Source organism: Homo sapiens, chromosome 22 (genome assembly GCF_000001405.40).
Source record: "Homo sapiens chromosome 22, GRCh38.p14 Primary Assembly".
Taxonomy (NCBI): Eukaryota; Metazoa; Chordata; class Mammalia; order Primates; family Hominidae; genus Homo; species Homo sapiens.
In genome coordinates this window covers 31,435,258-31,457,417 of record NC_000022.11, presented here as the reverse complement: position 1 = coordinate 31,457,417, position 22,160 = coordinate 31,435,258, and the positions used below count along the sequence as shown (strand labels likewise).

General features: G+C 43.5%; 1 protein-coding gene across 12 annotated transcripts in view; it reads left to right on the top strand.

Annotated features, from left to right (window-relative positions):
* The window catches only part of EIF4ENIF1 (eukaryotic translation initiation factor 4E nuclear import factor 1), a 56,606-nt gene extending 36,151 nt beyond the window's left edge, over positions 1-20,455 (top strand). For 4 of the 12 annotated variants that reach the window (XM_005261688.4, XM_005261686.4, XM_005261687.4 and 1 more), the window contains exons 8-19: positions 1,431-1,566; positions 2,103-2,282; positions 3,042-3,274; positions 7,058-7,129; positions 7,887-8,070; positions 9,186-9,265; positions 9,850-9,992; positions 12,728-12,812; positions 14,324-14,456; positions 15,300-15,644; positions 16,550-16,714; positions 17,297-18,051. In XM_005261688.4, the coding sequence (XP_005261745.2) occupies positions 1,431-1,566; positions 2,103-2,282; positions 3,042-3,274; positions 7,058-7,129; positions 7,887-8,070; positions 9,186-9,265; positions 9,850-9,992; positions 12,728-12,812; positions 14,324-14,456; positions 15,300-15,644; positions 16,550-16,714; positions 17,297-17,538 (1,998 nt within the window). In that variant the 3' untranslated portion in view covers positions 17,539-18,051. Of the gene's footprint in view, positions 1-1,430; positions 1,567-2,102; positions 2,283-3,041; positions 3,275-7,057; positions 7,130-7,886; positions 8,071-9,185; positions 9,266-9,849; positions 9,993-12,727; positions 12,813-14,323; positions 14,457-15,299; positions 15,645-16,549; positions 16,715-17,296; positions 18,052-19,599 lie in introns of those variants that run through there. The other 8 variants (XM_011530280.3, NM_019843.4, NM_001164501.2 and 5 more) reach the window with 6 other exon arrangements.
* The last annotated feature ends 1,705 nt before the right edge of the window (positions 20,456-22,160 follow it).

The following is a 22,160-nucleotide window of genomic DNA, read 5'->3' as shown; positions in this document are numbered from 1 at the left end:
GATAAGAATACTGCAAAAAATCAATTTGGATATTTGACTGAATTTATGGTATGATTTGAATTGAAAAATTTTTTAAATGCTTAAATCTAGTTTTTAAGAAAGATTGGCACTATTTCATAATTTCTACCAAAGCAATTTATTGTTCATAGTGTGTTATTTAATTGTCCTTATTAAATGTAAACTATGGAGGTTGGATTTGGAAACAGAAAACACCTGAAAACTCTCTATTAATCTCAAACAGAAATTAGAGATCAGTTGAAATTTCATCTTCCACAATCATACTTTTTCTAAACTTTGACTTGGAATTACAGTCTTTATGAGCTCTGCTTTTTTAGCCTTTGGCTTCTGAAACTCTCAAGATTGAATTTCATAATGTTCATTACAACCTTGAAACCACTAAGTTTGAAGCAATGGTTTTCTTTCATCAGTTCCCCATACTTGATATTTAGTTGAAGGTCACTCATCAGCTTGTCAGTGGAATGCTGTGGCATTGACACTGTTCTCTGAGAACATTTGGTAGTACGTGGATTTACTCCTGAGGCAAAGGATAGAAACCCAAAAACCTTTTTGTAGCATAGAGGCTTTGCTTTATATTCTTAGAAAGTAGTGGTGGTTCATGCCTGTAATCCCAGCACTTTGGGAGGCCAAGGCAGGTGGATCATTTGAGGTCAGAAGTTCGAGACAAGCCTGGCCAACATGGTAAAAACCCATCTCTACTAAAAATAAAATTAAAAATAGCCAGGCATATGGTGGCGTATGCCTGTAGTCCCAGCTACTCGAGAGCCTGAGGCATAAGAATCACTTGAACCTGGGAGGCAGAGGTTGCAGTGAGCCAAGATTGCACCCCTGCACTTCAGCCTGGGCAACAGAGCGAGACTGTCTTAAAAAAATAGTAGACCGGGTGTGGTGGCTCATGCTTGTAATCCCAGCACTTTGGGAGGCCAAGGCGGGCGGATCACAAGGTCAGGAGATCGAGACCATCCTGGCTAACACGGTAAAACCCCGTCTCTACTAAAAATACAAAAAATTAGCCGGGCGTGGTGGCAGGCGCCTGTAGTCCCAGCTACTCAGGAGGCTGAGGCAGGAGAATGGTGTGAACCCGGGAGGCGGAGCTTGCAGTGAGCCGAGATCGTGCCACTGCACTCCAGCCTGGGTGACAGAGCGAGACTCTGTCTCAAAAAAAAAAAAAAAAAAGTAATAAAAAATAAAAAAGGAAAGTAAGTAGATGGTTATACTCAAGTTTGGGTTATTCAGAAATTACCCAGGATGGAGGAAGAAAAAGGTGTTCAAATTCCTAGGTTCTGAGAGTATTTATCTTCAGGTCACGAGCATGAAAGGAAGTTTCAAAGTAAGTGACCCTTTCATAAGATTTAAACCTTCTTGTCCTTTTTCATCTAGAAACTATTAGTTTTTATTGTCTTTTTCTTCAGATGATAGAAGATGTTTTGGGAGAAGGGTCAGTCTCTGCCAGTCGGTTCAGTAGGTGGTTCTCTAACCCGAGCAGATCAGGAAGCCGATCCAGCAGTCTTGGGTCAACACCACATGAAGAGCTAGAGAGACTTGCAGGTAAAATGGCTTCAGATTCTGCCCTTGAAGGTAAACCTGGGTTTTTCCCTGATATGGTTCATTTTATCTTCATTAGTCAGGAGTCAATTAGGGTCAAAGGGTCTCTGGACAACTGAAAAGCCTTCAATTTGTGTCCTTTTAATATTGTTGAAGGGGCCGGGTGCAGTGGCTCACGCCTGTAATCCCAGCACTTTGGGAGGCCAAGGCAGGCAGATCACAAGGTTAGGAGTTTGAGACCAGCCTGGCCAACATGGTGAAACCCCCATCTCTACTAAAAATACAAAAATCAGCCAGGCGTGGTGGCGGGCATCTGTAGTCCCAGCTACTCAGGAGGCTGAGGCAGGAGAATCGCTTGAAACTGGCAGGCGGAGGTTGCAGTGAGCCGAGATTGCGCCACTGCACTCCAGCCTGGGCGAAAAAGCGAAACTCCATCTCAAAGAAAAAAAAAAAAAAAAAGAAAGAAAGAAAAATACTGTCGAAGGCATGTTTCTTTACTGGAACAGATTAATTTTGAGTATGTTTATTTGCAATATCAGGTCTGGAGCAAGCCATCCTCTCTCCTGGACAGAACTCGGGGAATTACTTTGCTCCTATACCATTGGAAGACCATGCTGAAAATAAAGTGGATATTTTAGAAATGCTACAGAAAGCCAAAGTGGATTTGAAACCTCTTCTTTCCAGCCTTTCTGCAAATAAAGAAAAACTTAAAGAAAGCTGTAAGTGTTTATGAATATCTGTTTTAGATATCTGAAAAGGTCTAGATGTTCAGTCTTCAGGCAGTTGGGTCTAACATAACCTCTGTTTCATAAAAAGTCAAATATATATTGGGTTTTTGTTTAATGTTCTTTTTTAAAAACTCATTTCATCAAACAATACCACCTCTTTGAGAATCTCACAGTGGGTCATGAGCCCTATGAGAACTTTTCCTGTAAGTTCTTACCTAGGGTCTGGTTGTAATAATCCAGTGAATGTTGAAAACAAACTCCAGTGAATGTTTTATTCCTCCAGAGCATAACTTACCATTTCCTCACAAATCTGCCCTAGTCTTCCATGTTCTTGCTTAGGCTATAAATTCTCAACATAAAAACTTAGTGATATAATGACCACGGTGCAGGCAGCAATCTTGGCAATGTTGGGCTATCTGGGATTCTTGTCCCAGGTAACAAGTCTCCCAGAAGACTCATATCCTTCTGCAGGATGCACAGCAGGAGCTTGTCAAGTTTTAAAGAATAGCACTTCATAGTTGTGGTCCCCCAGTTTCTAGCATCTAAACATTTTAGGTTTAGTTTATGCCATCTCTTAGTACACAATTTGATTTTAAGTGTTATTAGTTTATTTTTGGTGTCAGTCTTTTCTGACAGTCTCATCTCAATTTTGAAATAAATTATTTTCATCTTATCTGTCATACTAGCCAAAGAGAATTCCTACCAGATATCTCTTTGCTTGATTTAACCTGGACGTTCTCAACTTCTCAGCACATTCAGGGGTTGTGCTTTCAGTGGAGGAGGTAGAAGCAGGTCTGAAGGGCTTGAAGGTTGACCAGCAAGTGAAGAATTCAACTCCCTTCATGGCAGAACACCTAGAAGAGACCTTGAGTGCCGTAACCAACAATCGACAACTGAAGAAAGACGGAGACATGACTGCGTTCAACAAGCTAGTGAGCACAATGAAGGCAAGTGGGACTTTGCCTTCTCAGCCCAAAGTCAGCGTAAGTATCTGACACAAACCCCCCACCCTTTTCTCCTTTTTTTTTCTTCTTTTTCCCACCACAATAAAAGGATTTTTAAAAAGGTATTCTGAGTAAGTTGGAAATTCTTTAGTAGTCATTTGGTCCTTGATGCTTTTGTGTGTTCCTTAATTATTGATATGCTATTTGTTACTGGAAAAAGCAGGCTTGTGGTTAATTTATATGTATTGTGGGTGACAGTATAAAGATTAAAAGATTCAGTCTTAATGGTAATGCCTGTATAACTTTAAGTCACTGCTAAAATGAGGTATAAAACTATCTTTTTGGATGAACTCCAGAGACAATTTTCTTGTTATTCAGCTACTTAAGTTCATATTCTTTACCATATTTGTATAGTAAAATCTTTATTCACATCTTCTAATTATTCCCAGATACCAGGGATTACCTGCATTCTTGCAGTCATACAAATCATTTGTAAAGTATCTAAGATGGGGCTGAGCACAGTGGCTCACGCGTGTAATCCCAGCACTTTGGGAGGCTGAGGCAGGCAGATCACCTGAAGTCAGGAGTTTGAGACCAGCCTGGCCAACATGGTGAAACGCCATCTCTACTAAAAATAAAAATTAGCCAGGCGTGGGGGCATGCGCCTGTAATCTCAGCTACTTGGGAGGCCAAGACAAGAGAACTGCTTGAACCTGGGAAATGAAAGTTGCAGTGAGCCGAGGTCACGCCACTGCACTCCAGGCTGGGCAACAGAGTGAGACTGTCTCCAAAAAAAAAAAAAAAAAGTAAGATGGGTTTGTCAGGATAATTACATTCTGTCAATTTACTAATGGAAAAAGTTGTGGCTCCAAGTTAAAAACAAAACTTGTAGGCATGAAGTTAGGTTACAAGGTGACACAACTGCATATCACCTTGTAAATGCAAATGTTTATAATATACTGGTTCTTTGTCCTAACAATTTTGAGAGGGTAGTTCTTACCCATAGCCTATGTGTTAATATCACTATCTCTTGATACAAACTAATGTGGAAGCAGGGTAGATATGAATAATAAAAACATAAACATGGACTTATTCTAGTTGCTAAGTTATAGCAAATTTACCAAATTGAGTTTTCTCTCTTTTTTTCCTGTTCCCTGCTTGCCTGGGAACTTACCAGTTAGCCAAGATGCAAGTAGCAATAGCTGTTTGAATCATTATGTCTTATACCAAAAGAAAGCAACTGACTTTTAGCATTCCTTATCTGACCAATAGGACAGACAGAGGTTCCATTATTCCTTAGTGCCAGGACTGACCTACACTTGAAAGGAGGCACCTCAGATAGGTAGACTGACTTCTTTGTATCTGACCACACCATACCAGTTGCAGGAGAATGTCCCTGTAAAACTGCTTTAGAGTTACTTTTATACAAAGAATTATTAGATACAAATGCTTTCAAATGAAGATCAGACTGAAAGATGGTAGACTATCCTATTTTCCTTTCTCGTTACATTTGTGTCTTGGTGATTGGGTGCTGACTGCAATGGTGTGGTTCATATCTTATAATTAGCTTCTTTCTTTTGGTGTGAGCAACTAAAAATATGGAAGGGGGCATTCAGCAGTTTACCTGATGTTTTTCCACATTTTATTGCAGATATGATTCTAGGATTTGATATTAACACAATTTACTCGAGTTGTAAGGGCAGTTGGTTTGATGTTGGGGTTTTAGCACTCAGAAGTGTATCTGGTTTTAGCTGAGCAAATGAGCCTCAAACACCTGCCAAACGGATGGATGACACATTCAAGTGGCTAGGCAAAGGCTAAGACAAACTCAGCTAGCAGGAAAGAATACAACAAGGAAAGTAATGGAGTAAGAATAGCAGGTGTTATCTCAAAATATTGCTCAATTTGCATGTTGTTAAGTCATGGTTTACTTTTTGAATTCGGTGTCTTTAATTACTACTGCTGTGTATGTTTTGTATACTATTTCTGATCTGCCTCCATCCATTTAGGTTGTCATATTGGTTCATCCAAAAATAATACATGCTGGTTCAATCTAAATTCTGTTTTAAATTATAGATTCTATCCTCCAAGTATAATAAGCCATGCAGTATAAAGTTGTCTATTTGTTTTTATTAGATGGAAGTAAATGACTCTTAAAGAGATTACTTATAAAATCATCTGCCTTTAGTCCCAGTTCCAAAATCAACAATAAAATACTTGGGTATTCTTGAGCTATTTGTCATGCCTAGACACTGCTTTGGACTTTGACAGCTCCATCTAGTGGAAGGGAAACTACACCAGAGAAAGCACTTCACACAGAGCTAAATGGGCATAGGGATGTCCTGAAATGCAGGAGGGGACTCCAGGTTGGATGCACAAAATGTAACCACTGGCCAGGCCTGGTGGTGTACACCTATAGTTCGAGCTACGTGGGAGGCCAAGGTGGGAGGGTTGCTTGAACCCAGAAGTTCAAGGCCAGCCTGGAGAACATAGACCTGTCCCAAAAAAAAAAAAAAAAGTAACCACTACTGCTTTAAGAGTGGAGGATTTGAATTTTGCCCTGTATGTGATACCCATTTTGGAACAGCTCGTTTAAAAAATAATAAAGTTGCCGGGTGCGGTGGCTCATGCCTGTAATCCCAGTACTTTGGGAGGCCGAGGCGGGCAGATCACGAGGTCAGGAGATCGAGACCATCCTGGCCAACATGGTGAAACCCCGTCTCTACTGAAAAAAAAAAAAAATTAGCTGGGCGTGGTGGCATGTGCCTGTAGTCCCAGTTACTCAGGAGGCTGAGGCAGGAGAATTGCTTGAACCCTGGAGGCAGAGGTTGCAGTGAGCCAAGATCGTGCCATTGCACTCTAGCCTGGTGACAGAGCAAGACTCTGTCTCAAAAAATAAAATAATAAAGCTTAAATTTCCTGAAATATGAAACTCTGAAATATAACAATTTTGGCCAAACCTGCATGTTGTTTACTAGGATTTTAAAACCATATGTGTAGGCAGGGTGTGGTGGGTCACGTCTATAATTTAGCCAGCACTTTGGGAGGCCAAGGCCAGAGGATTGCTTGAGCCCAGGAGTTCAAGACCAGCCTGGGCAACGTGGCAAAACCCCATCTCTACAAAAAATATAAAAATTAGTTGGGTGTGGTGGCATACACCTGTAGTCCCAGCTACTCAGGAGGCTGAGATGAGAGGATCGCTTGTGTCTGAGAGGTCAAGGCTGCAGCAAGCCATGATTGCACCACTGCACTCCAGACTGGGCAACAGAACAAGACCCTGTCTCTTTTGTGTGTGTGTGTGTGTGTGTGTGTGTGTGTGTGTGTGTGTGTGTGTGTGTAGTATATATATATGTGTGTATGTATGTGTGTATATGTATGTGTATGTATATGTGTATATGTGTGTGTATATATGTATGTATATATGTATGTGTGTATATATGAGTGTGTGTGTGTGTGTGTGTGTCTCCAATAAATCTTGTTAAAGGTAATGGGTAGCAAGAGTTATCTCAAGTAAGTGTTCCCCGGTTTCACCATTTTTCCCCCTTTTGGTCACAGTGTTAGAAACAGGGAAATGGACTTAGGATTAGCATAGTGAGGATCTCTGAGGGGACTTTGCATGTACATGTGAACGGTCTTTCCATCCCCAGATCTTTGAGACCTGTGTGATGAGAGCGGAACACGTTGGTCTAAGTTTTCTGTGACTTGAGTATCATTCTGCTATTAACTCCCTAGGAGTATTTTATGCTTTCTTGTGGTCCCCAATCAATCTGTAAGTTAAGTGAGTTAAGAAAGTTAAAACCAGTTTTCTTTTGACTCTTTTAGCGAAACCTTGAAAGCCATTTGATGTCCCCTGCTGAGATTCCAGGCCAGCCTGTCCCTAAGAACATCCTGCAGGTACTTCACAATCTTATACTGAGGCCTTGGAGTCTTGAACAGTAGTCTTCTGAACCAGTTTTGCTTAGTGGTCCAACTTTGGGCCTTAGAAAATGATCTGTGTTGCCTGGCAATCAGAGAGGTGATATTGTTGCCTGACATAGTTTGGTGTTGCTTTTAATCTCAATGGGCAGGGGATAGGGGATGGCTAAAAAAGTTGACAAAGTAAGCCTTGACTTCTAGTTTCCTTTGCAGTTTCTGTGAAACTTAAAAGTATCTAGCCAGGCACGGTGGCTCACACCTGTAATCTCAGCACTTTGGGAGGCTGAGGTGGGTGGATCACCTGAGGTCAGGAGTTTGAGACCAGCCTGGCCAACATGGTGAAACCTTGACTCTACTAAAAATACAAAAATTGGCCTGGTGTGGTGGCACATGCCTGTAATCCCAACTCCTTAGGAGGCTGAGGCGTGAGAATCGCTTGAACCCGGTAGGCAGAGGTTGTGGTGAGCCGAGATCATGTCACTGCACTCCAGCCTGGGTGATAGAGTGAGACTCTGTCTCAAAAAAAAAAAAAAGGAACCTCTATTTATAGCACTAACTTAGAGCATATGTTGCTAGCTGAACATTCAGATAAATGTGTTGCATGTACACATGCCAAGTCCTTCAGTTGAGCATGAGGGAGATCCATCTTGTGGCTCTCAAAAGTTAATCCATAATTCACAGCCTCTGAGTAGAAGGAATAACTAAGTTCACAGGGATTTGGCTTTTCTGCCTTTAGGAACTTCTGGGTCAACCAGTTCAGAGACCTGCTTCTTCCAATCTTCTGAGTGGCCTTATGGGGAGCTTGGAGCCTACAACATCTTTACTGGGCCAAAGAGCACCCTCTCCTCCCTTGTCACAGGTGTTTCAAACTCGAGCAGCCTCAGCTGACTACCTTCGCCCAAGAATACCATCACCAATTGGTAAATATACTTATTTGTCAAAAGAAATATGAATTTATGGCCAGGCACGGTAGCTCATGCCTGTAATTCCAGCACTCTGGGAGGCCGAGGTGGGCAGATCACCTGAGGTCAGAAGTTTGAGACCAGCCTGGCCAACGTGGTGAAACCCCATCTCTACTAAAAATACAAAAATAGCCAGACGTGGTGGTGCATGCCTGTAATCCCAGCTACGCAGGAGGCTGAGACAGGAGAATCGCTTGAATCTGAGAGGCGGAGGTTGCAGTGAGCCAAGATCACGCCACTGTACTCCAGCCTGGGCGACAGAGCGAGACTCTGTCTCAAAAAAATAAATAAATATACTTTTGGGGGATGGGGTACCAAACGTGGAAGATACCAGCTGCTCTTCTAGGTGAATATGTTCATGTTATAGATTTTTTTTTTATTGAAATCTAACTTTGATCTAGCTCTTTAGTCTTATTCCTTATTTTGGGAATTCAATCCAAAAAAAGTTAATTTGGCTTCTTAAGTTTTTCTTTGATATAGTAGAAGTCAGTGTAGTGGTTATCTATGAAGCTATTGAGTTTTGATAGACAATCTGCTGTTAAGTCTTATGGCTAATTCAGAATGTGACTGAAAGAAAAGTTCCAGAAAGTGTCTTAGCAAAGTATTTACATGGAATGTCGTAGTGTTCCTGCTATCCTAGGCCACTTTAGGCTGCTGGCCACTCTGGCTCCTGCCAAACAAACCTTGAGAGGCATTTTTTGAAATCTTCTGTCCACAGTCAAACAATGGAGAGAATGTGTATTCTCAGAGCAATGGTGTCTATTTTAATACCAGCTGGCTTAGTGATAACGGGACAAACTGCTGGCTAGGAAAGCTCTTCTCTCCCAGAGAGAGGTCTTGGCTTTAAAAGGAGCAATGCTGATGGCTTAGTTGAGAAGCAATTTGGACAGTGCTCTGGTTGAGGTCCACATAGCCCACTGTTGGGGCACAGAGGGAGAGGGACATCTGTCAGCCCAATAAATCAGTGCTTTCCAAGAGATGGCGTTCAGCAAGAAATGTCATGCATTAATGAAAATGCCTCCCTGATGCACACATACCATCTTGGTACTCACTGAGACTAACTTTCCCGACAGGTTTCACACCAGGACCACAGCAGCTACTCGGAGATCCATTCCAAGGCATGCGCAAACCCATGAGCCCCATCACAGCCCAGGTCAGGCTGAGCTTTCTCAAACTCAATCTCTTGCTTGCCCTTCACCCTCTTGGTGCATGGGGAGTGGAGAGCTGAACTGTTGTGATTCTTAAAAATGGTTTTGAGGCCAGGCATAGTGGCTCATGCCCGTAATCCCAGCACTTTGGGAGGTGGAGGCAGGAGGATCACTTGAGCCCAAAAGTAAATTTAAAAAATGAGCCAGGTATAGCGGCATGCATCTGTAGTCCCAGCTACACAGGAGGCTGAGGCAGGAGAATCGCTTGAGCCCAAGAGTTTGAGACTGCCGTGAGCTATGATGGTGCCACTGTACTCCAGCCTAGGTGGCAGAGTGAGACCCTGTCTCTAAAAGAAATGGTTTTGATCTATATTTCAAGCTCAGTGAAGGTTAGACAATTTGCTGAATAATTCAAGTAATACTTAAATTGTTAATCTTGTTCACTGCGATGGCAGCACAATCTAGTCAGTTTCGCAGTATCTAATTTTTTTCAGCTTCTGCTTAACATACCTTTCTAAGAGTGAAGAGAAACCTTTGTAGAAAGTGTGGTGTCCTTACTCTTCTCCTGACCCTCCCCTCTCCTTTTCAGCAGATGAGCCAGCTGGAGTTGCAACAGGCAGCTTTAGAAGGGCTGGCCTTGCCACATGACCTTGCTGTACAGGCAGCAAACTTCTACCAGCCTGGTTTTGGCAAACCACAGGTGGACAGAACCAGAGATGGATTCAGAAACAGGTAAATTACTAATCCTGCTCATGTGGAGATTTACGGATAAGTTTTCCTGAAACTAATAAATTACTTATCTGCAGTATAATTCTGTTGTACATACTGTGGTATGTTCAGTATGTGGTAGAAATTCCATCCCAATCCAAATCAATAGAAGAAATAGATTTAATAGCGGAAATATGATTAAATTCTACTGCAAGGCATAGGGCTTTCATTCTATATGGTTTTATTTCCGTTCTTGATTTATAAATTACTTTTTTTCCTTGAGTTTGCTAATTAGCCATATGGAAGGGATGCTGCTCGCCTAATTTACCTCACAAGATTGTTATGAGTAAATATATTTTAAAATCTTAGGATGTTTCTACCAGTTAAACCATTCATTTTTACAAATGAAACTAGCATAGCTCCTTATTCCTTTCCCCACAGATTCAATGTTCTTATCAAACTCCCTTGATGCAGGTTTGCTACATCAGCAGTTTTTTGGCCAGAGCTGACAGGTTTGTTGATCAGAGCTGTTAACAAGTAGAGTACTGAGTTCACTCTTCTCTTTTTCGATAGTTGCAACAAATGGTAAAATGAAATTAATCATAAGTTAGGGAGAAAAGGGAAAGGAGTGGCAATATTATTTTATTGTAAAATAAAACAGACAAAACTATATAAAACAAATGTGTAGCTTATTATAAGGCAAACTTCCTTGTTAACTACTCAGAGGGCCTCCATGTGCCCTGTGCCAGTAATACCCCTTTTCCTCCTCAGAACTCTCCACTGTCCAGCCTTTAAAAGTAATCACTACCTTAATTAAAAATAATTTATCACCAAAATGCACATCCCTGAACACTATAGTTTAGTCTACCTTTAAAATACTCGGTACTTAATGTTTTGATGTGATTCTTAAAGTTACTACCACAGTGCCTCAGTGTTTTGCTTCAGCTGGTTTTACCTGTTAACCCTTTCAGAAGATACTGAGACCAGGAGATAGCCTTACACAAGCACATCCTATTTATAGCACCCTTCCACCGAAACAGAGAGCTCCAGACTGGTCTGCTGAACCCCTCTCACGTGCTTTCTGTCTATAGCATAATGCAGTTACCTAGTATTCATTGATGTGATTTGTGACTTTCACAGTACTTTTAACTTTTTTTTTTTTTTGGAGACAATCTCTTGATCTGTTGCCCAGGATGGAGTGCAGTGGCACAATCTTGGCTCACTGCAACCTCCTCCTCCTGGGTTCAAGCAGTTCTCATGCCTCAGCCTCCCGAGTAGCTAGGATTACAGGAGTGTGCCACCACACCCGGCTAGTTTTTTGTATTTTTAGTAGAGATGGGGTTTCGCTATGTTGGCCAGACTTGAATTCCTGGCCTCAAGTGATTCACCTGCTTCGGTCCCCAAAGTGCTGGGATTACAGGCATGAGCCACCGCACCTGGCCCAGAATTTTATATGATCTTCATATCAACCCTGTGAGGTAGATGGGGGGGGGGGGCGGTACGTAACTGCATTTTACAGATACAGAAAACAGGTTTTTAAAACATGGCTTACTCAAAACTAGCAAGCATATTTGAGTCATTTCAGTCTAGCCTTCATGTTTTGGATCAGCATCAGCCTCTTAGGTCCTCCCTGTGTACAGTTGTGTCCCTCCAACAAACATGCCTTTCCCCTTACCTTGCTTTTTTAAATTGTATTCATCACTGTCTAGCATATTATTTATTGTTTGTCTCCCTGCCTGTAGTAACCCCACTCCATCCTGCAGCCCCAAGAATGTAACCTCCATGAGGCCAGAGATTATTTTTCTTTTATTCACTGCTGTATTCCAAGAACCTGGAACAGTGTCTGTAGCAGGTGCTCAAATATGTTTACCAGAAGGAATGATAGGTCATGTGGGACCCTCAAGTTTGGGGTTCATTTTTTAGTCACTCAGAATAGTACTGATCTGTCTGCCCATGTTGTCATACACACAGTCACAGCATGGCAGCAATGGGGTACTAACTAGAAAGAAGCCATGAATTTAGGTTTTCCATCTATCTGTGATTCAGAGAACTTCAGGTCAGTGACTATACTTGGGCCTTGACCTTTGAGGCCTGAGGTCAATCTTGTGTAGACCAAGAGTGGTCCTAAAATAGCTGAAACTCTTGATTCTGTATTTGATTTGAACGAGTGTCACACACAGCATCAGTTCTGTGCCAGGCACTGTGCTAATTATTGCCGCTCCCTGCCCAGTGAAGCACAGGCAGCCCAAGAATGAAGGCCCTCCCTAGCGCACCTCACTGGTGTAGTCTGCAGTAAACTATACACCAGCTCTGGATAACCCTACAACTCCCAAGTTCCTGTACCTATTCTGTCTACCTGAACTGTTGTTCTCTAGCTTCTTCTTGATCGCACCCAATGGAATGCAGCTTCTTCCCCAGGAAGCATCCCTGCAGTGCCTTGTTATTTCTTCTAACCCCTCCATTTTCCCATTGTACTTTGTTGGTGCCTAATATCTACATGCCTTGGTTTGCTCTAGGTGATTGTCTCCCCCGCTAGACTGAGAGCTCTTACAAGACTGGGACTGTGTTTCATTTTCCTTTTGTCTTCCCTCAGAGCTTAGCATGTGCTTTTGTGTATGTTAGGCCTAAATGCTTGGGAAATTGAATTGGATAAGGGAAAGGGGATGTTAAAACTTCTAGGCTGGTCTTGAGTATTATATGGTTTTAAGACTTGAAGTTAAGCAGATTGGGGTTCATGCTGATAATTGGTTTGTTCACAGGCAACAGCGAGTGACCAAGTCACCAGCACCCGTGCATCGAGGGAATTCCTCTTCCCCTGCCCCTGCTGCCTCCATCACAAGCATGGTCAGTGACCTTTAGTAACTGTGAAGGACTTTAAGGCTTCTCCCTGTTTGGTTGTGCATGGATTGTACCACTGTGTGCCCTAAATGTCCTTGAGTTCCTTCCACGGAAATAACTGACCTAGTAGTTTTTCATAACTGTCTATTAGGTCTTTCCCTTTTAGGACACAGTCTAAGTCTTAGGATTTTAATGAAGCCCCTATATTGGGGAAAATATGTTCCAGCAGAGATGATCATGGGCCAGGGCACACGAGGTGATATAGTATGTTCAAAGAAATGAACCAGGTGTGGGGAGACAGGAGGACGATAGTGAGAGACAGGAGGTGAAGTGGACAGAGGTGACTGGGTCAGACAGTGGGGAGTCTATTGAAACTTGCAGGGGAGTTCACAAATTCGGATTCACCACTTCAGGTCTCAGTGATATAAACTAAGGCTGGAACAGAAGGGTTTGCTTATATGCAGTGAGAAGTCTAGTTTTATAACTATCATTACTTTAAAAAATGTTTCATTCCAGCTGGGCGTGGTGGCTCACGCCTGTAATCCCAGGACTTTCAGAGGCCGAGGTAGGTAGATTGTTTGAGTTCAGGAGTTCAAGACCAGACTGGGCAACCTAGTGAGACCCTGTCTCTACCCCTAATACAAAAAATTAGTCGGGCATGGTGGTGCACATCTGTGGTCCCAGCTATACTCGGGAGGCCGAGGTGGGAGGATCACTTGAGTCCAGGAGGCAGAGGTTGCAGTGAGCCAAGATCGTGCCACTGCCCTCCCTAGTGAGTCCCCGTCTCAAAAAAAAAAAAAAAAAAGGTTCATTCCCCACAAATCTTTATCATCTAATCAAAGCCGATAGAGAAGAAGGAAAAAAAAAAATAACTTTGCTGCGTGCTTCAGAACCCCACGTGGGTCTTTGCACCGGTGACCTTGAAGGCAGCAGGGTTTGGAAAGAACTTTTTTGTTTATAAGTCAAGCCCTGTCTCCTGCCATCAAAGATGTGGGGTTGTTTGGTGAGAAAAGGCAAATGCATAATAAAATCACCAAGGTAGAAATAGTGAAGAGGTAAGAAATGACTCCAAATGATTAATCCTGATGGCTGAGGAGACTATTGAGATAAATTTGACTTTTCTGGTAGCCAAGTTAAGGGAAATATTAGGAGTATGGAGTAATTCTGGTTTTGATGTTATCTTTGAAATGTCAAGGAAGGTCTGTTGCTCCAAGTTATATTTCTGGCCATGTTCTTTCTCTTGCCAGCCTAATCCCAGGCTGGGAAATCTGTGACGCAGAGGCTGCATAGGCATGTCCCCATTATCACACAGTTGTAAGCAAGGGATAATGTACTTGGGACACTGCCTATTTGCCCCATTCTGTTTTTCCTCCAGCAGCTACAGAACAGAATACTACAGTTGGCCTATGCTACCAATGTGGGGACTCTTTGTTGAGTATCTTGACAAGTTAATCCTGGCTTAGTATTAGAGAACGGCACTTAGAGAATGTGCTAATGCCAATTGTTTTTCTCTGCAGCTTTCTCCTTCCTTTACCCCTACCTCAGTGATTCGTAAGATGTACGAGAGCAAAGAGAAAAGCAAGGAGGAGCCAGCATCTGGAAAAGCAGCTCTTGGTGACAGTAAAGAGGATACTCAGAAGGCCAGTGAAGGTACTGCAGAGCTGTTAAGGGCACTGCTCAAGAAAGTATGTGATGGAGAAAACATGGGCCTGAGCGCTGACCAGCCTGATATTCTATACAAAGCCCTGGGCAAGACCACTAGCTTCTCTGGACTATGGTTCTGTGTCAGTGAGAAGGTTCTGTGTGACAGTGAGAAGAATTGGGCCAGCTCACAATTGCTTGGTTGCTTGAAATTTGACCAATCTAAGAGTGCTACTACCAGACGGGTAGAATGAGTGTTAGTTTAGAATCCTTAGTTAGGCTTCAAAGTTAATAATTAGTATACTTATTTGGCAAATTAATATAATTCAGCGAGTTTTACTTCTGAAAGATTATGTCCAGCCTGTGGAGACTTAAGTGTCCAACATAGAAAATATGTGAGAGGCTTTTAGGAGTTGCACAGTAGGGATTGTGAAGGACGTGGTAACATGCGGATTCCAAATTAGGGTTTACAGAGGTGTTAAAAGTACAGATCTGAGAGATTTTTGCCTGTGTTTGAGAAGGCTTGGGGTGGGTGGTGGGGAGGAAATCCTGTTGGTACTATTAAGACAGTTTGGGTTCTTTGACCAGACTCTAATTGCCATTTAGATTTTCTGTTGTGATAGATTTGCATAATCTAGGCCACAGCCATTTGTGCAGAGAAGGGTGCCCAACAATTCATCTTCTGGTCCTGTTTATGAAGCAAACGATGGTTCCTACCGTGTAGTCCTCTAAACTTGTTAAGGGTATCAGATAAGAATTGTGACCTTAAGAAATGAGATTTATTAGACCAGTGGGAGGCCACAAGTGTTTGGGAGAGGTTTGCCAAAATATTTTTTGTTTGGTTCCTCACAGAAAACCTCCTGTCATCCAGCTCTGTACCCAGTGCCGATCGAGACTCTTCTCCCACTACAAATTCCAAACTGTCAGCATTACAGAGGTCTTCGTGTTCCACCCCACTGTCCCAGGCCAACCGTTACACCAAAGAACAAGATTATCGACCTAAAGCAACTGGGAGAAAAACACCCACCTTGGCATCCCCAGTTCCTACAACACCTTTTCTCCGCCCTGTCCACCAAGTTCCCCTTGTCCCCCATGTCCCTATGGTTAGGCCTGCTCACCAGCTTCACCCAGGGTTGGTACAGAGGATGCTGGCCCAGGGAGTACATCCACAGCATCTTCCAAGTTTGCTCCAAACTGGTGAGTTTCCAGCCTGACTTGGGTGTCGTCAGTTTGTGGGCCTAGGGGACAATTGTTGGCACTGATGAAGTGCTATAATGTGGGAGATTTCCATCCCTAGAAAGATGTTACTAGATTCTCCCATCTAACTGGCAGGCAGTGGGCCCAATCCAGTCAATCCCCTAGTCCTTTAAAAGATTAGGAACCTAGCTTGAAGATTCTTTTTTTTTTTTTTTTTTTTTTTCCTTTTTGTAGAGACAGAAGTCTCACTCTGTCTGCCTGGCTGGAGTGCAGTGGCGCAATCTCAGCTCACTGCAACCTCTGCCTCCTGAGTTCAAGCAATTCTCCTGCCTCAGCCTCCCGAGTAGCTGGGACTACAGGTGCACGCCGCCACACCCGGATAATTTATTTTGTATTTTAGTAGAGACAGGATTTCACCGTGTTGCCCAGGCTGGTCTCAAACTCCTAAGTTTAGGCAGTCCACCCACATCGGCCTCCCAAAGTGTCAGGATTACAGGCGTGAGCCAGAGAATTCTTCATTCTTTTTTGAGTCTCGCTCTGTCGCCCAGGCTAGAGTGCAGTGGCGCGATCTCTGCTCACTGCAACCTCTGCCTCTCCCGAGTTCTAGGTCCCTGCCTCAGCCTTCCGAGTAGCTGGGATTACAGGCGCCTGCCACTACACCTGGCTAATTTTTGTATTTTTAGTAGAGACAGGGTTTCACCATGTTGGCCATACTGGTCTCGAACTCCTGACCTCGTGGTCCGCCTGCTTTGGCCTCCCAAAGTGCTGGGGATTACAGGCGTGAGCCACTGCGCAGAGCCCTTCATTCTTAACAAACTTCCAGATCAGCAAAACTGTACAGTGAAGCTGGAAAACTTCCAGGTAACATTAAGACTACTCAGCTGCTTGCTTTTTCTGCTCAACAGGTGTGCTTCCTCCTGGGATGGACTTGAGTCATTTACAGGGAATATCTGGCCCCATCCTGGGTCAGCCCTTTTACCCTTTACCTGCTGCTAGTCACCCTCTCTTAAACCCTCGTCCTGGAACACCTCTGCATCTGGCAATGGTGCAACAGCAGCTACAGCGCTCAGGTAGGTTCAGGAATGTGACAGGTGAGTTTGGGACGGACTTAGGGAGTCTTGAAGCTTTGAGGACTAGTTTCCAGTGGAGATGAATTAACACTTTCATTCTTTAACTTGTTCTAAGTTTGGGACAAAGTGTAACCAGATAATAAGATGAAGTAAATTGACCTCTATGCAATTTGGGATTACTGTTCCTGCAAAGTCAGTGGGAAAAGCCAAGTGTTTTCTGGCTTTTTCCTTTGCCTGTTAGGAGAGAGGGCTGAGAATCCAACAGAGGTTCAGCATCCGGCCTGCCCAGGGTATATACCCCCTCACCAGTTCATGTTGCTGCTTCTGTGATGTGGTTACTTAGCCATGAGAAGTAGCGGTCATGTCATCCAGGGTGGGTTTTCAATACTGGTAGCTTCTGAATAGCTCAGCTTTCCATGGTACTGTTTTCTGGCATTGTTGGTATTTTGCAAAGGAGTTTCTAAAGAAGCCCTAGAAAAAATCCTCTAGTAAAGACTTTTCTTTGGATAGGGTTTGAATGAAGCAGGGTCTAATAAACTTTCCTTCTCATGCTGTGAATGATAACCCTTCTTATCTCCACAGTTCTGCATCCTCCAGGCTCTGGTTCCCATGCAGCAGCTGTCAGCGTTCAGACAACCCCTCAGAACGTGCCCAGCCGGTCAGGCCTGCCCCACATGCACTCCCAGCTGGAGCATCGCCCCAGCCAGAGGAGCAGCTCCCCTGTGGGCCTTGCCAAATGGTTTGGCTCAGATGTGCTACAGCAACCCCTGCCCTCCATGCCCGCCAAAGTTATCAGTGTAGATGAATTGGAATACCGACAGTGAGCAGGGCAGGCAGACTCAACTAAGCCCGGACCTGTGGTGGCACACTGGGCAGGACCCTGCTTCATCTCGGGTTGGTTTATGGGCTTTTACTTTGGAGCACTCTGTGTGAAGCTGTTTGGTGGAACCCATGCATCTGGTGTGGTCCGCATTATGATGGAAGGATCTTAACCAGTCGAGTGGAGTGTACATTGTCTGAATACAGGATGCACAATGTTGTCAATCCTGGAAATGGTCTTTCTTTTTTGTAAGATATGTGAATGAAGTGTTGGTGTCCTCACCAAGAGGTGGCACCTAAGGGTTCTGAGGAAATAAATGTATAGACCCTTATGTACAGACCTGTGTATAAACAACTTTTGTATATACATATAGGATAGCTTTTTTGAACTATACAGCTGTACATAAAAGTAGCTGATATTAGTTAGGCCTGTGTCAACAGTTTGGATTTTTTTCACTTGTACATTTGGGATTTTCTTTTGGTTGATTAAAATTGCATATGCTAAGTGTGTGAATGAAGTAACTGACATTGTTGTGTTTATTTCCTCTCTGAAACCCTTCCTAATTTTGTTTGGAGACAGGGTCTCACTCTGTGTCACCCAGGCTGGAGTACAGTGGTGCAATCGTGGCTCACTGCAGCTTCAACCTCCTGGGCTCAAGCGATCCTCTCACCTCAGCCTCCCAAGTAGATGGAACTACAGGCACATGCCACTAACTTTTTTCTTATTTTTTGTAGAGGCAGGGTCTTACCATGTAGCCCAAGCTAGTCTTCCTAATTTCTAACCAGCCAAGCTATGCTCAGTATGTTCCTTTAAGGAAGTGATCTGAAGTTTAAGTAAGTTAAGTTTTTCTTGAAAACCCATGGAAATTGGGCACTGTGGCTCACGCCTGTAATCTCAGCACTCTGGGAGGCAGAGGCAGGCGAATCACAAGGTCAAGAGATCAAGACCATCCTAGCCAAGATGGTGAAATCCCATCTCTACTAAAAATACAAAACTAGCTGGGCATGGTGGCCCACACTTGTAGTCCCAGCTACTCGGGAGGCTGAGACAGAAGAATCGCCTGAACCTGGGAGGCAGAGGTTGCAGTGAGCTGAGATCACGCCACTGCAGTCCAGCCTGGCGACAGAGTGAGACTCCATCTTAAAAAAAAAAAAAAGTTAATTGGACTCTATCTTGATTTAGGAGAAATCAACTATGGCCTTTTTCCTTGAGCTTTAAAGACCCCAACAGGTCAGTTTATACTGGACTGACCCTATAGATAGCATAGCCTTGTGGCTAATACCAGGATATCTATAGTGTAATTTCCAAGATTAAACTGACCTAGTGAAAACAGTTTATTGAGGAATCATCTATTACATATGGTAGTTTCTCTCAAACAAATCATGTTTACTGGGGCATCCTGTTTCTCTAAGCTCAGAGTTCTGAGCTTAGACCCACTGAAGTCTAAGAATTTCCCTTAAGACTCATGCATTAATTGACTCCTTGTGTTCTGTATCACATTCCTTAGCTCACAATTGTTTTATTATTCACCTTAACTATTAGTATATACATAGCACTTACGGATAAAGATTCTACAGAATACAGTACAGTTCTGAGTCCCCTTTCCTAACTGGAGGTTTTTCAGTCCTGCTATGAGGTGATACTTATTTCCCATGCTACTCAAGTTAATTTACCAGAGTTCTAGATATTTGTCCATTCAGGACCATTTTAGGACTCCATGCTAAAGGGTCAGATAATGAGGTAAAGGTCAAGGTGGTTGGATTTTTGACTACAAGGGTAGTAGAGTCTTGGGCAGCCTAAGTCTTGACCGTTTGTTAGGGAATAATGACTATAAGCCTGGAACTGCCCACCCTGCCGTGTACTTGCAGGAATACAAGAAAGCAGGTCACCTTTCAAGAAAACCTGGCTTTATGGATTATGCATGAAGTCAGTCTCTTCCTGGTACTTTTCTTTCAGCCTCATTAGTAATCCCCTTCCCCCATGCTATTCACTCCATGTGATTCCTCAGCTTCAGAAATAGACCCTCTGTTTAGAATTTTTGGCAAATGCTTTCTGGTTTCCACAGGTGGAAGCTGGAACGCAGTCCCAAGTGTCAATGGCAGAACACAGACACCTGAATCCAGTTCCACCTTTCCTGTGTATCCTCTTCCACTTATCTTACTTCCCCTTCATGTTGAACCAACGTTAATAGGTGCAAGGTAAGGAGGACTGGGTTGAAGCTGCTAGTAAAGGCTTCCTTTTCAGACTAGAAGCTAGTAGGACAGAAACAGGTACCATGCAAAGAGCAAAGCCATTAGCTGGTGATTGGCAAATGGCGCCAGAAGGAAATAAGGGAGTATTGCTAAGAGTATCAGCAGAAGCTAGACATACAGGTTTTAGCAAAAGTATTTTGGTAAACACAAGGACTAGAGGAAGCGGGAGGGTGGGGGGGGGATGAAGGCAAAAGACACATTAATGCAGTCTTCAAGGAGCTAAGACCTTGATATAGGATGAGGGCAGAGAGGAAGGGATGTCTTTGGAGAAACTTTTGATGTCTTGCAGGCACGAGATGAGTTCACAAGCAATCAGTGCTGGAAGGATGTGCAAAATAAAAGTTAAGAGAAGCTGAGGATATAGAAGGCATCCTGAAAGTAAAACAGCTGAGGACCACAAAGCATATCATGGAAAATCTGTTAAGCAGGGGAGGTCAGGTAGGAGAGGAAAGAATAGTCCCTCCCAAAGGAAGCAGTTAAATAAGTCTGTGGGAGGTCAGTGGTAAAAGGAAGTGGGAATGAAGTGAACAGAGAGTGCAGCTAGGCCTTCCCCTAGGAGATAGCTACTGAGTGTCTTTTAAGCCAGACTCTATTAACAGGGAAGGGAAGTGGGAGGTCCATTGGCCTTTGTGAACTATGAGCATAAACACAAACCAAGAATGACGATAACTTACAGGGTTAAATTCTGGTTCTTCAATAATTCTATTCCCTTTACCAACAATTGATTCAAAAATAGACATGTGACCCAATTTTAGGCCACGAGACAACAAACTGGGTGGCTTCTGGAAAACAGCTTCCCAAAAAGGTAAGACCAAGTTCCCTTCCATTTCAGCCGCTTAAGTTAGCACTTTCTGCTAAATGCAGCTAAACGTGTTCTAACTAGTTAAATGGCACAGAACAATGGATCTGTTTACTTGTAATAAAGTCAGGAAAGAAACATGGAATATGTAAAAGCACAGGAAATTCAAATCATGCTATGACAGCCAAACCAGTAAAGTCTTAGAGTTAATGAGGAGAAAGCCTTTAGCTGTACCTCCACAGTGGCCATACCCTAGGCAGCATTCCCAATACCAAACATACCCCTCTCCCAGAACTGCTAAGTCTAAGCCCAGAGGAGAAAGGGAAAGGTAGGGTAATTCTCTCCTCAAGGAGACCAGGGGTCCCTGGACCAAGCCATGGGGAGGGTGCTAAATGATGGACACAAAGCCTATTCACAGAACATCCTGAGGCCTTAGGATGAACTGGATTTCAGCAACCTTCTCTCCCCAACATTCTGGCAGTGCTAAATGCTTGCTCAATGAAAGTGAATTTTGGCAAGAAGAGTCCCCAGAAACCCAATATGTTCTGGCTGGAGAACAAACCTTCCTGGAAATCCCGTAGCTCAGAAAGCCAATGTTTCCCTGTTCCCCTGCAGGGTTGGGGCAGGCTCTAGACCACGGCCTCTATCATGAATGCACCAGTGGTATCAAGGCCGATATTCTGAAAAGTAACTAGCATACCAGGCTTCAGGAGCTTACCTTCCAGGTCTGGGGACAGTGACAAGCCCAAGCTCCAGGAAGACTATCAAAGGGAAACAACTGCTATTAGGGCAGCAGGAGAAACAAGCACTGGAGAGAGGCTGAGTATGTGAATAATCCCACACTGTGATCACTCATGACCTGCTAAAAGCTCTGGCTTGCCTCATTTGAAGAAATAATCAAATTCTGTCTTGCTGCAAACCTATTCTTCCTGATTTTCTCAGGGACTACTCCATCCATACTGAAATAATGTTTGACTTCTTCCCAAGAGCAAGTTAGTTAACAAGTTTAAGATTTCTCCCCCATACTTACATGTCCATACCCTCCCTTCTGCCCATATTCTTTAATTATTTAATTTTTATTTCTTGGAGACAGGGTCTCACTCTGTCACCCAGGCTGGAGTGCAGTGGCCCATCTTAGCTCACTGCAGCCTGGACCTCCCAGGCTCAAGCAGTCCTCACCTCAGCCTCCCGAACAGCTGGGACTGCAGGCATGCACCACCATGCCCACCTAATTTTTTAAATTTTTTTGTAGAGATTGGGCCTCGCTATGTTGTCCAGGCTGGTCTCGAACTCCTGAGCTCAGGCGATCTTCCTGCCTTGACCTCCCAAAGTGCTGGGATTACAGGTGTGAGCTACTGGGCCCAGCCCCCTCCGTCCATATTGTTACCCACCACACCAAGATTTTCATCAACCAGTTTCACATAATCAGAGCAATCCCCTTAAATTCCTATATTCCTAGTCCCCCAAATATCTGATTATGTCCTTAGCATCCTCTCAAGTAGTCCTGACACCAAGCCTCCTCCTAAACCGCCCACCTCCATATATACACATATGTGAACACACAAACCTGCTTTG